Source organism: Homo sapiens, chromosome 8 (genome assembly GCF_000001405.40).
Source record: "Homo sapiens chromosome 8, GRCh38.p14 Primary Assembly".
NCBI lineage: Eukaryota > Metazoa > Chordata > Mammalia > Primates > Hominidae > Homo > Homo sapiens.
Window position 1 is genome coordinate 85,186,735 of NC_000008.11, and position 14,487 is coordinate 85,201,221.

Here is a 14,487-nt window from a genome sequence, read left to right on the forward strand (position 1 = left end):
ATAAGGTATATATATGGTATATATAAGGTGTATATATACGGTATATATAAGGTGTATATATATGATATGTATATATAAGGTGTATATATATGGTATATATATGTAAGGTGTATATATATGGTGTGTATATATAAGGTGTATATATATGGTATATATATATGTAAGGTATATATATGGTGTGTATATATATAAATTCCTCCTTAGTTTTCTCTAACAATCCAAGCATAAAAAAAAATCCCTGTTAGAACTGCTTTTGCTGTATTCCATAGATTTTGTTATATTGTTTCCATTTTCATTTGTTAAGATATTTTTCAGTTTCCCTTTGTATTTTTTCATTGACTCATTAGATGTTTAAGAGCATGTTTTTTGTTTTTAAATTTCCATGTATTTGTGAATATTCTGTAGTTTCTCTTGTTAATGATTTTGTCAGAAAAGATACTTGTAATTATCTCAGTCTTCTAGAATTTGTTATGATTTGTTTTTTGGCCTCATATATAATCTAACCTGGAGAATGTTCTGTGTGCAGTTGAGAAGCGTGTGTATTCTTCTACTGTTGGATGGATGTTAGGTTCATTTGATCTAGAGTATAGTTTAAATTTGATATTTTCTTATTTACTGTCTCTACGTTCTGTCCATTACTGAAAGTGGGCTGTTGAAATCCCCTACTATTGTTGTATTACTGTTTATCTCTCCCTTCAGATTTATTAATGTTTTCTTTATATATTTAGGTGCTGCTATATTGGGTTCACACATATTTACAACTGTTATATCTCATGTTGCTGAATTGACCCTTTTATTATTATATAGTGACCTTTGTATCTTTTTATAGTTTTTGACTTAAAATCTATTTAATCTGATATATGTATAGCCACTTCTGCTTTCTTTTGGTTTCTATTTGCATGGAGTATCATTTTCTGTTCTTTCATTTTCAGTCTACGTCCTTACAGGTGAAGCAAGCCTCTTATAGGCAGCATAAGTTGAGTGTTTTTAAAAATCCATTTAACTACTTTGCCTTTTTATTGGAGAACTTAATCCACTTACGTTCAGGGTTATCATTCATAGGTAAGTAGTTAATACTGTCATTTTGTTGTTTTCTAGTTGTTTTGTAGATATTTTCTTCCTTTCTTTCTATCTTCTTTTGTGGCTAAATTATGTTGTTGTCTAGTGGTATGTTTTGATTCCTTGCCTTTTTATGTATCTGCTATAGGTTTTTGCTTTGTTGTTACCATGAGGCTTACAAAAAAATATCTTACAATGCGGTATTTTAAGCTGATAACAAGTTTGATCGCAAAAACAAACAAACAAAAAGAAACCTAACAAGCCTCTATGCTTTTATTCCAGTCCCCTCCTCACATTTTGAATATTTGATGTCACAAGTTTTATCTTTTTATATCGTCTATTGCTTAAAAATTATTGCAGCTACTATGATTTTTAATAGTTTTGTCTTTTAACTTTTACACAAAATCCAGAATACTTTAATTCTGTGATGATGCTGCATAAATTGCTTATATCTTTAGTCAGTGTACTTACTTTTAAGTGAGTTTTAGACTTTCAGATTGTTTTGTGTTACTCCTTAGCATCCTTTTTTTTTTTTTTTTTTTGGAGATTGAAGACTTCCCTTTACCATTTTTTGTAAAACACTTCTGGTAGTCATGAACTCCCTTATCTTCTGTTTTTCTGGAACAGGCTTTATCTCTTCTTCATTTCTGAAGGACAGCTTTGTGGGGTTTGGTATTCTTGGCTGGCAGGGTTTCTTTCAGCACTTTGAGCACTGAGGCAGGCCAGAAGCTTTTGGCAGATGTGGCCAGCACAGGAGTGGTGCAATCTGAAGCCAAAGTTCACTGAGATATCCCTGGTATTGTGAGCTGTCCAGAGCCCTGGACTGCTGACATCAGCCTGGCATTGGTGCAGCCCAGAGATTGAGTTTGCCTTGAAAGCCTGAAGCCTCGGGTTATGTGATCCTGCTTGGCACCAGGCTGGATCTAGAGCTTCAGTCTATGCGCACTAGCCTGGAACATGGGGTTGTGGTGGTCTCACCAGTGTTAGGTTTTACTTTGGCAATCCTAGCATTGGAGCTAAAGGTATGGTGTCTCTCTCCTTGCTGTGCTTCCTAGGGTTGAGGGAAGGATGACGGGGTAATATAAAACTGCCCTTCTTACCCTCTTCAATGTGACTTTTCTTATTATTGTGCTGCAACCAGATAGTGTAATCTCTTATATGGCTTATTTAGCTCTTGTGAAGGTATGTTATAGTATGGATGCTTGTTCAAATTGGTGTTTCTGCTGGGGAAAATTGCTGAAGCGTCCTACTCTGCCATCTTGCTCCATCCCTTCCTAAATAAATCATTGTTTTAATTTCACCAGTAAAGACTGACTGTCCTCAATTATGAGTAAGTTTCCTCTTACATCTTAATATTTTTGTGAAAGTGAGGATATACTTTCTGATGTTCCTTTTCCAACCTAAAATACAATTACTGAAGTATCAGTAGAAAGCTTGGGAAAAGGTTAATATACTCTAGAGTAAAACTTGCCCAGTATGCAACCACTCACAGAGAACCACTGTCAACAATTTTTAGTATTTCCCATTTCTTGCAACTTTTTATAGCTGAGATCAAATGTTTATTGTTCCTACTTATTAATATTATTATTATTATTTTTGAGGCAGAGTCTCTGTGACCCAGGCTGGAATGCAGTGGTGAGATCTTGGCTTACTGCAACCTCTACCACCCAGGCTCAAGCGAGTCTCCTGCCTCAGCCACCCAAGTAGCTGGAATTATAGGTGTGAACCACCATGCCTGGGTAATTTTTGTGTATTGGTAAAGATGGGGTTTCATCATGTTGGCTAGGCTGGTTTTAAAGTCATGGCCCCAAGTGATCCACCCGCCTCAGTCTCTGAAAGTGCTGTGATTGTAGGCATGAGCCACTGCACCCAACCTCTTTTTCCAAATTGTAAACATGATTTATAATGTCTTCATAATTTTGATCTGTCACATTACCCAGAATTAACCATTCTTATTAGTAGGTATATAAGTTTTTATGTTTTTTTCCTATTTCATACAATGAATATGTATTCACAAATGTGTGCCCCGTTGTTCTTTATTTTAGTAGCTTCCAGATTATAATTATCAGAAAAAGTCAGAGAAATGGGCAGTTCCACGCTTTTCACACTGTGAGGGGTGTTTGGAAGCACCTACCTGAGCCTTACGCTTCAGGGAGTAGCTGGGAGCTGACCTAGGAACTCCGGGACTCAAAAGCCAGATGTCATCAATATATATACAATTTAAGAATTTAAGGTTATATTATACCTCTACTTAGAACAACGTTCAGACACCTACAAGATCCTGCCTAGTCTGGCCCTCCTTCCTCTGCCACCTCGTCTATGCACTCCCTCTTAGATGACTCCAGTCTCACTGACTGTCTTTCAGCACTCTCACATGCCCTCTCCTCCTGCCTCAGGGCTGCTGCACAGGTGTTTCCTGCTGCCTGAAATGGACTTCTGCACGTGTGTGAAAACACACACACACACACCCCACCACCACCACTGCACCACACATACACAAACACACAACTGGCCACTTCTCCAAACCGTCTGGTCTTAGTTTTTTTTTTTCCTTCTTTTAGATGTTTTTGTAGGCAGAACAGTGGTCCCTCAAAGATGGTCATGTCCTAATTCCCAGGACCTGTGAATATGTTCAGTTACATAGGAAAGGGGAACTAAGGTCAAAGTTGCTAATCAGCTGATTTTAAGATGGGGAGATTTTTCCTTTTTTTTTTTTTTTTTTTTTTTTGAGATGGAGTCTCGCTCTGTCACCCAGGTTGAAGTGCAGTGGTGTGATCTCGGCTCACTGCAACCTCCGTCTCCCGGGTTCAAGCAATTCTCCTGTTTCAGCCTCCCTAGTAGCTGGGACTAAAGATGCCCACCACCATGCCCAGGTAATTTTTGTATTTTTAGTAGAGATGGAGTTTCACCGTATTGGTCAGGCTGGTCTCGAACTCCTGACCTCAAGTGATCTGCCCGCCTCAGCCTCCTAAAATGCTGGGATTACAGGCATGAGCCACCGTGCCCAGCCAAGATGTGGAGATTTTTCCTGGAATATCTGGCTGTGCCTGTTGTAATCAAAAAGTTCTTCAAAGTGGAAGAAGGAAGAAGAGAGTGAGAACCAAAGAGGTGGAAGCTTGAAAATGACCTTTCTGCTGTTGGAAGAAGGGGTCATGAGCCAAGAAGTGTGATAGCCTCTAGAAGCTGGAAAGGCAAAGAAATCGATTCTTCCTTAGAGCATCTAGAAGGAGCACAGCCTTATCAATATTTTGATTTTAGCTCAGTGAGATCCATTTTGGACTTCTGATCTATAGAACTATAAGATAATAAATTTGTGCTACTATTCAACCATTAAAAAAAAAGGAAATCCTGTCAGTTTTTGACGCCATAGAAGAACTTGGAGGATATTTTGCTAAGCAAATAAGCCAGGCACAGAAAGACACATGATCTCATATATAGAATCTAAAATAGTCAAATTCATAGAATCTAAGAATAGGATGGTGGTTACCAGGAGCTTGGGGAGATGTTGGTCAAAAGATACAAAATTTCAGTTAGACAAGAATAAATTTGAGAGATCTAATGCACATCGTGGTGACTATAGTTAATAACAATGTATTGCCTTCTTGAAAATTGCTAAGAAAATAGAATTTGAGTGTTCTTACCACACACAAAAAAAATGATCAGTATGTGAGATAAAGCATGTTAACTGGCTTGATTTAGCCATTCCACAATGTATACATATATCAAAACAACATTTTGTAAACAATATATATGATTTTTAATTACCAATTTTATTTAAAAATTTTGTTTTGTCTTAAACAACTACATTTCTGGTCATTTGTGACAGTTAGCAATGGAAACTAAGGGAATACAGTGTATACAGATGCTTGTCCTGACTCTCCTTAATCTGAAGTGACTGAAGTAGGTTCCTGCTTATTCTCAGCAGCCTGGGTTTTTGCCTTACTATCCTTTATCACAATATGGAATTATTTATTCCTTTGTTTGCCCATGTTTCGCTGTAGGCCAGGGACTGTCTTCTGTGTTACCAATGCTGACCCAGCCAGTCCATTATAAGCTTTCAACAAATAGCTATTAGTTTTGAGTTAAGTGAGAGGACATTCCTAGTCAGCAAGACAGTGTATGTCAGAGCCAAGAGGTAGAGAAACATGTGGGTACATTTGAGAGGCTATAAATCAGATGACTGTTGTGTGAAGAGAATATTGGATTGCAAGCAGATTTACAGGCTTAAACTAGGTTAGAGGCAGGGACAATAAGAAATGGAGAGATTCTGGTGACTTCACATTGTGGAAGTGACAGAACCTGGTGCTGAGTCTATGGGAATAGGAAAGTGGAAGTGACAGAACCTGGTGCGGAGTCTATGGGAATAGGAAAAATTATCAATGACTGCCATATTGCTGGCTTGGTAAATGGAGTAGATAGTGGTGATTTTCACTTAGAAGTTATCAAAAGGGAGAAAGAATTGAGAGGAATGGTAAATTCAGTTCTGGACATGAATAAGATGCCTGTGGGACATCCTAGGGTAGGTCTCTGGCAGCCTATCGGAATTATAGGTTTGGAACCCAAGATAAAGTTGAGGGCTTCCTGTTTGACTTGGATATGGTTGATTTATGAAGTTTATGTAAGGAAAATGGTTTTTAGCAAAAAGAGGAACAAGAATGGAACTCTGAAACACTAGTAGTTCAGTAGCAGAGGGCAGAAGAAAGGGAAAATAAGACAAGAGAAAAGTCTGAGGGTATGGTAACACCAAGACTAGAGAACGATGAGGGAGTAGCCAACCAGTGTCGAGTGCTACAGAGGATGCAACAGGACTTAATAGTGTCCACTGGTTTTAGTAACAGAGGTAATTAATGTTCCAGAAAACATTTTGGGCTTTTAGACAGTTTATACTAAAGAATTACTGGAGCAGAGCATAATAATAGTTTTTAAGTCCTTTACTTAATGTTGTCAAATTGCAAAAAGATGAAATTAGTTTTCAGTCCAGTAGCAGCATATGATTGTGACCAACCATCTCACAGCATCAGAAGTAGCATGGTATCTCTGAGTTTATGTCCTGACTTTACAATATTTAGTGCCCTTGGGCAAGTTACTCAGCCTTGGTTTCCTCTTTTCCAAAAATGGGACAATAATATTACCTACCACAGGTGGTTATGATTAAAGAAGTTATCAAAATGAGTTTTTATTTTTAAAGCACTTAAACAGTATCTGGCACATAGTAAATGCTACATTGAAGTGTTTGTTGGGTAACTGACAGATACATAGAGAGATGGATACATACATGTATACATACATACATAAAATAAATGTTGGGTATTCTAATTTTTTTTATATTTTACAAATTTGAAAAGTAATGAATAGTATTTTTTTTCAGTCAACTTTATATATATACTTTACATATATTAAAATGTTCCTGGCCAGGTGCAGTGGCTCATGCCTGTACTCCCAGCACTTTGGGAGGCCAAGCGGGCAGATCACTTGAGGTCAGGAGTTCGAGACCAGCCTGGCCAACATGGTGAAACCCCATCTCTACTAAAAATAAAAAAATTAGCTGGGCCTGGTGGTGGGTGCCTGTAATCCAGCTACTTGGGAGGCTTAGGCAGGAGAATTGCTTGGACCCAGGAGGTGAAGGTTGCAGTGAGTGGAGATCATGCCACTGCACTCCAGCCTGGGTGACAGAGAATCCATCTCAATCAATCGATCAATCAATCAATAAAATGCTCCTATTTTAAGCGAACAGTTAAATTAGTTTTGATAAATACTTGTACCTGAATGACCATCACCTCAACCAGATGTGGAACATTCTCATCACCCCAAACAGTTCCCTTTTGCCTCCTCCCAGTCAGCCCTCAACTTCATCCTCAATCCCAAGCAATCATTGCTCTGCTTTTTTTCCTGTGAATTAGAATACCCTTTTCTAGAGTTTCACGTCAGTGAAGTCGTACCGTAGGTACTCTGTGCTTAGCTTCTTTCACTTGGCATGTTTTTGAGATGCATTCATATTATTGCATGTACCAATGGTTCATTCCTTCCACTCCCCGAGTGGTGTTTTGTTTTATGGATGTACCACACTTTGCTTATGAATACATTTACTCTACTAAATGTATAGTTTTGGTTGTTATGAATACCGCTATGAATTCATGTATAAGCCTTCATATAGACACATTTTTATTGTTTTGGTGTGTATTCCTTTGATTATTATTCCTTTATTAACTCATTAAAAGTTTGAAAACTTTTTCAAGAATGGTAACTTTTTTTGTTTTTGTGAGTTCTATCTTTTGTCCGTGTTTTATTTTGTGGTTTTATGTTTTCTATGTTTTAATTATTGAGATAGTCTAATCTTTTTATTTCTTCTATATATGTAACATTTATAAGTTCCCATGAAGGAAATTTTTGACATTTTGCTGTATATGCATGTATGTTTGTGTATGTGTGTGCCCAGTAATTTTGGGAGTTTTAATCAGTTTTGAGAATGGGCTATTCGGCAGTTAATGAAGACAGCTAACATGAAAGTTAGGGTAAACTCAAATCATAGTTCATATTCACTATAATTTCTTCAGAATTTTTTAGATTATTTTAAAATCCATGTACATTCTAGTAGATTCTGTCTAGTACATTTTTCTTGAATATGACAAGTCTAGGTTCCTGACACCATTCGTTATCCTTTAAGCAATGAAATTTTGTGTATAACTTAGTTTTCTGATTAACTTAGGTTTATCTCTTTGTTGTTTTTTTGTTTGTTTCTCTTTTTTTTTTTTTTTTTTTGAGACAGAGTCTCACTCTGTCACCCAGGCTGGAGTGCAGTGGTGCGATCTCAGCTCACTGCTACCTCTGCCACCCAGGTTTAAGTGATTCTCCTGCCTCAGCCTCCCAAGTAGCTGGGATTACAAGCGCCTGCCACCGCGCATGGCTAATTTTTGTAGTTTTAGTAGAGACAGGGTTTCACCATCTTGGCCAGGCTGGTCTTCAACTCCTGACCTCATGATCCACCCTCCTCGGCCTCCCAAAGTGCTGGGATTACAGGCATGAGCCACCATGCCTGGCCCTGTTATTTATTATTATTATTATTATTTTAATTTTTAAAATTTTTGTAGAATTTAATACCACACCCGGCTATGCCAGACACTCTTCTATTTCAAATATTATATTCATTTAATCCTCACAGCAACAATATCTTCATAGTTATCTTACAGATGAGGAATTTGAGGCTAAGTAGCTTGCCCAGGGCCACACAGCTAATAAGTGGGGTCTACCTCAGAGCCCATGTTCCTAAGCTTTATGCTGTGTTGCTGACAGGGTGAGGTTAAAATATGGAGGCCGGGCACAGTGGCTTACGTCTGTAATCCCAGCAATTTGGGAGGCCGAGGTGGGTGGATCATGAGGTCAGGAGTTCGAGACCAGCTTGCCCAACATAGTGAAACCCCCTCTCTACTAAAAATACAAAAATTAGCCAGATGTGGTGGCATGCACCTGTAGTCCCAGCTACTCAGGAGGCTGAGGCAGGAGAATTGTTTGCACCCAGGAGGCGGAGGTTGCAGTGAGCCAAGACTGTGCTACTGCACTCCAGCTTGAACAGCAGAGCAAGACTCTGTCTCAAAAAAAAGAAAAAGTAGGTGCAAATCTCAGTAATAGAATAGCAGATTCACACTTAATCTTTCTCCTGTTTTAGGAAGTTAATACTTAAAAGAATTATTATTTATTTTTTCTTTTTTTCCTTTTTGAGACAGGGTCTCACTCTGTCACCCAGGCTAGAGTGCAGTGGTGCAGTCATGGCCCACTGCAACCTCAACCTCCTGGGTTCTAGTGATTCTTCGACTTTAGCCTCCCAAATAGCTGGGACTGCAGGCACGTACCAACTTGTCTGGCTAATTTTTTTAATTTTTTTTTGTAGAGATGGGGAGCTTTCTCTGTTACCCAGACTGGTCTCAAACTACTGGGCTCAAGCAATCCTCATACCTCAGCCTCTCAAAGTGCTAGGATTACAGGCATGAGCCACTGCATCGGCCAAGAGAATTTTCAAAGTATGCAATTGAAAATGTAGGCAAGCAGTCTCTAGATCTTAATAATTTATAGGTTTCTGAGGTTCAGCATTATTGTCCTAGTTAAATAGGCACTTTATCAAATATCTTTTTTTCATTTGAGTCATCTTTGATGATTTCTGTTGGTAAGACAATAGAAATGAATTTCCTTTTTTAAAAGTTTATACAAAGTTTATTAAAAATTTTTTTTTAAAAATTTAAAGCTTATGCATTTCAAAAATATCAAATACAGTAGCAGTTAGTTTGGAGTGACAAGACGACCCCTGAAGATTTTTTAAGGAGAGATTTCCTTGTGGTAGAGTAGTGACTGGGAATTGAAACATGCGGCTCCTGGAGGGAGCGCTTTGCGTCTTTAAAGTAAGTTATTTATTCTTTTATATTTAATTTCCTTATTGATTTGGTAGCCCTTACAGACCCATTGAAAACACATAGTGGCCACCTCCAGGAACTATTTCCTGTTTGCTCCCACCTTAAGTAATCTCTCATTTTTCTATCTCTTATAACATTTTGTCTACTTTAGGTACTATTTCATTTTTTAAACCTCATTCTATAAAGTGTTGGTCACAATCCCAGAGCTTTAGACATGTATGCAATTTTTTGTTACTGTTTATTATTTTTCAATAATAAGTGGAAATTAAGATCTTTCTGTTTTTTCAGGCCATTTTATACACTTGATATGAAACTTCCTGTAGACCATTGTTATTTGAATTGCTTCTTCAATGCAGTTATATAACTTGGAAACTTTTGGCTGTGTACCAAATTTATTTAAAGTCATTTGAAATCATATAAGTCCATTTAAAAATGTTTTACCACAAATGTATTTATGAATATGCAGTTAATGCTAAATTCCACCTTGATCATTCATTAGCTTTGTGGATCTGTTTCCAGTATAACAGGGAGAACACTAAAGCTGCCATGAGCATTAAATTAGATAATGTCTCTGTAAGATTCTATTACACAATTATCCTGTTACTGGCTTATAAAAGGTTCCTCTTAATTGTGGATTGAAATAAAACATTCTGCATTAACATCTAAAGATATAAATTATCTTTAACAGTGTTTAAAATTAAGTAATAATTAGTCCAAACCTCATCATGAAATAGATCAACATAAAGTACCATGTGGCTCAGTTGAAAGCAAGTTCTTTCAGTTTTTATTTTAATTCTCATTAAAATATAGGCAATTTTGGAGCATCAGTTGGGGGCCTTCCCATCTTCTTTTCAAGTGGAACTGATTGGTTTTATATAGTACTTCTGTTGCACATTTTTTATTTTGGGATTCTGGCCTGCTTCATCATAGTGTTCGTTTCTGAATCACAGTAGCTAAACTATTGAGTGCATATGTATTGACTTTTGTGATTTTGGAAGACAGCAAATAAAGTACCTGCTTTGCAGGTGAAGAACCTGAAAGACAGGATGTTTCCTATTATTGTTTTGATATTAGCCTTTTTAATACAACATCATGGTCCATCAGAAGAACAAGCCTGAGCCAATGAGCCTTAGCTAATCCTAACTCAAATAAAGCTACCACATAATGTTTCTCCCTATCCAGAGTTAACACTGGGTCTTAGTGGACTCATTTGTTCAAATGAAGGGACGTGGCCTCATGATTATTAAAGCCGTTTTTAGCACTTATGGACTACCTATCTCAGCTTTCCTGGTTCATTTGTCTTGAGCACCTCTTAGAAGCATTGCAGACTTTAATTTTGTTCCACCTATAGACATTGCTTTGTTCACCTTTGTTTATCATATTTTTAGAACAGGATTTAATATTTGGAAGGGAGATCTAATTCTTTCAGAGGAATATTTTTGTTTGTTTTTTTCTGTAAACTGAGTTAATGTGATACAATTAGATGCTTCCTTTATGGCTGTATAGGTAAAATCCTATGAGAGTAAATGTAGCCTTTTAAAGTAAATGTGATTAAGAAATATATATACTTATTCAACAGTTACAGTGGCAAGCATGGGTTGGGAATGGTGACTTGCTTTGCTCTCCACCTACCCCTTGTCTGTACCCAGGCAACTGTCCAGGGCTGGAGGAAAATGCAAAATAATGCTGATAGGTCTCACTTTAAATTCATGATCACCAACTACAAAGGGGCCAGTAGTGCTGTCCAGCGTTCCTTCCATGCTACCTATTGTCTTGCTTTTTTATATGAATATTTTGTACTTTCTTCTCTCCTCTCAACCATTAATAGCTCCTTTCCTTTCTCCCCGATCCCAGTGCTGATGAGAGAATAAAAATCAACCAGAAGGAAATGTCTAACCTTTCTCCCTACCTGGTCTACTAATGTACCTATATCTGTACCCAGGTACTCTGCTGGACTTCAGTTATTAATATGCCCTGTTATTATCTAAGGACAGTCCTCACTTATTGAATTCACATCCTGCCTTCCCTACTTATTGCCACCTCTAGCAGTCATCCCTTCTCTCTTCTGCATTGTTAATGATTCCTCTTTCTTTACCAGATCATTCCTATCAGCATACTCACATGTTGAAATAGCTCCCATCTTTAAAAGGAAAAAAAAAAACTTCCTGGAGACCCCACAGTTCCCTAAAAATATTGCCCCATTTCTTCTTACCTCTTTGCAGCAGAACTCTTCAAGAGTTGTCTATTCTAGCTTTCTTTCCATTCTTTCTTGAAATTTCTCCATTAAGACTTTCAGCCCCACCTCTCTGCCAAAACAGCTCTGATCAAAGTCACCCATGATCTTTCCAAAGGCAAATCACTGATCAGTTCTCACTAACTTGCTCTGACAGCAATACTTGATATGGTCACACTTTCTTACACTCTCTTCCCTTGGATTCCAAGACCCCACACTTTCTGATTTTCTTCTGACTTCAGTGGCAGGTTGCTCCCTCATTTCCTGGACCTTAAACTTCCCCAGAGTTGGTTCTTAACCTTCCCTTATATGCTCACCTCCTATGTCAAACTAGTGGATTCCATCTTGTGGTATAAACTGTCTATTCGCTGAAGACTACTGAATTTATATCTCTAGCTTGGATCTCTCCCCTAAGCACACACTCTCGTGTCCAGTGGTCTTGCTTTCTCCCTGTGGATGTCAGAAGGTTCAAGGCCAGTTTCTTTATTTCCAGTGCTCCAAACTGGTTCCTTCTGTAGTATACCTTATTTGTAATTGCTCTTATCAAAAACTGAAGTCATTTCTGATTCCTCTCTAGGGACCTGCTGCTTGCCATACCTTCAAAATATATCCAGAATGTTAACATTTTTCACCATCTTCATAGCTACCCCTCCATCCAAGCCACTACCATCTCCTGCATGGATTATTGCCATCGCCATCTTGTTGGTCTCCTTTCCTGTCTTTATCTCCTTTTTCCATTTTCCCTCTCATTATTCTGCCACACTGGCCTGCCTGCCTCTCCTTGAAGAAGCTAAGCACCCCTCACACTTCAGAACCTTCGTGCTTGCTGCTTCCTCTGCCCAGAATGCTCTACCACCAAACATTCACAGGGGTCTCCTACTCCATTCAAATGTTCAGATGTCACCTTGTCAGAGAGCTCTTTCCCTGAAAATCCTATTTGATATAGCACCTTCCTCTTGCCTGCATTCTCTCCAAACATAATTATTTGTATATTATTAACTTCCCTCTCTTCTTTGAGGGCAGGGACTTTGTTCTGTCACATCTATATCTTTAAGACCCAGAACCAAGCCTGGAACATTTTGGTGTTAAATGAATGGAGGAAGGTAGTGGTGATAGTGGTGGTGGTGGTGGTGGTGGAGATTCATGGTATTATTCTGTTAGATATTAAAGCCCCAAATTAGTTTTTAAAGAATTCACACACAACTTTTTCAAACACTATATAAAACAAGGTAAATCTGTATACACACAAACTTTAACCAATCTTAAACACAGTCTTACCCACGATCCGTTTCAACCTGTATTTGATGATGAGGCTGACTAGCCAACATTTAAGTAATCACTATACAGTAGACATTGCGGTAAGATTATCCAGTTTAATTCCCACAATACTCCTTTCAGTATATGTTATACCATTTTATGAAAAAGGAAATGAGGCTTAGTGAGCTTACGATGAGGCCAGCTGAAGATAGGAAGTGGCAGCCCTGGGACTGGATCTCAGTGTGTTTAGCTTCAGAACTTCTTAAGAATGATGGGACTGGCTGGGTGCCATGGCTCACACTTGTAATCTCAGCACTTTGGGAGGTCGAGGTGGGTGGATCATCTGGGGTCAGGAGCTCAAGACCAGCCTGGCCAACATGGTGAAACCTCGTCTCTACTAAAAATACAAAAATTAGCCAGTCGTGGTGGTACACACCTGTAGTCCCAGCTACTTGGGAGGCTGAGGCAGGAGAATCAGTTGAACCCAGGTGGTGGAGGTTGCAGTGAGCCAAGATCACACCACTGCACTCCAGCTTCGGCAAGAGAGGGAGACTCTGTCTCAAAAAAAAAAAAGAATGATGGGACTTTCTAAAATAAAACCCTCCTGGAGATTCTTTTACATATGATCTGTACATGTTAGTCATTTATATGTTTACATACTTAAATAGTAAAGTATTTGAGAAATAATGTTTAGTTTTAGAAACTAGGGGTTAAATGTTGTGATTGTTAAGCAGTAATAAATATAAATGATAAACAAGACACCTTTTTAAAACTTTGAGCTAAAAATTAAATCTCATGGCACTTTGCCTAATGACCTAAGCTAGATCTTGTGGTCTGGTTCATACAAACATGTTCTGATACCAAAACCAGAGTGCTGTTGCTATGGCTGTGAATGCTTTTCTGTGTGAGTACATAGATACCAGTAACACAGAGCCATGGCTTGGAGTTCTCTGAGTTACTTCTCTAGAGAGAGGAAAGTGAGAAATGAAACCTCAGCTTCAGATTTGTACCGTTAACTTTGCAGTCGTGTATTGCTCTTCATAAAAACAGCCTCGAAGTCAAGAGTAAAAATTCTGTGAAGGTCGATAAAACAAGAAGGGAATTGCTAAGTACAAGGGAAGAAGGTATCAATGAAACAAACCATGGCTAGTCCTGCTGTTAATTTTCTGGTTCTCTAGAAGGGACAGTGCCAAGTTAGAGTTGGGGAACAAAGAGCCCCACTCTCCTGCTTTTCCTTCTTCTGCCACATCCTGCTTATTCTCCTGGTCCACTGAGGCATGAATCCCCTTCTTGAGGAAGACCTGAATGATGGGACAGCAGTAACCTGGGGGTTTTGGTGGCACATACAAAAAAATGTGTCTGAGAGAACTGACATTTCTCTTAAGATCCCAAATGCCTGTACAGTGAATATAGCTGTCAGTGGCACCTTCTCTGGGGGGAAGGCAGGTCCAGATTGCAAACACTGTGCTGAGCTAGGTTTTCACAGAATCAAGAAAGTAGTGATGCTCTCTGGGAGAGCTGTTAGCAATTATGCGA

The 14,487-nt window shown here is 38.4% G+C and overlaps 1 protein-coding gene across 3 annotated transcripts in view, besides 2 other annotated features; it reads left to right on the top strand.

Moving 5' to 3' along the window:
* E2F5 (E2F transcription factor 5) overlaps positions 1-14,487 on the top strand; it is a 37,365-nt gene that overhangs the window by 9,581 nt on the left and 13,297 nt on the right. The window contains exon 1 of one of the 3 annotated variants that reach the window (NM_001083589.2): positions 931-1,062. The exons of the other annotated variants lie outside the window; for them this stretch is intronic. The gene's annotated coding sequence lies outside the window, so the exon portion shown is untranslated. Of the gene's footprint in view, positions 1-930; positions 1,063-14,487 lie in introns of those variants that run through there. 3 annotated transcript variants of the gene reach the window in all.
* Positions 3,146-3,215: an enhancer, noted in NCBI's record as "active region_27591". NCBI's record gives its function as "activates an Ori minimal core promoter by ATAC-STARR-seq in GM12878 lymphoblastoid cells {active_cell/tissue: GM12878}" and the evidence as "EXISTENCE:reporter gene assay evidence [ECO:0000049][PMID:35858748]".
* Positions 13,866-13,925: a silencer, noted in NCBI's record as "silent region_19335". NCBI's record gives its function as "represses an Ori minimal core promoter by ATAC-STARR-seq in GM12878 lymphoblastoid cells {active_cell/tissue: GM12878}" and the evidence as "EXISTENCE:reporter gene assay evidence [ECO:0000049][PMID:35858748]".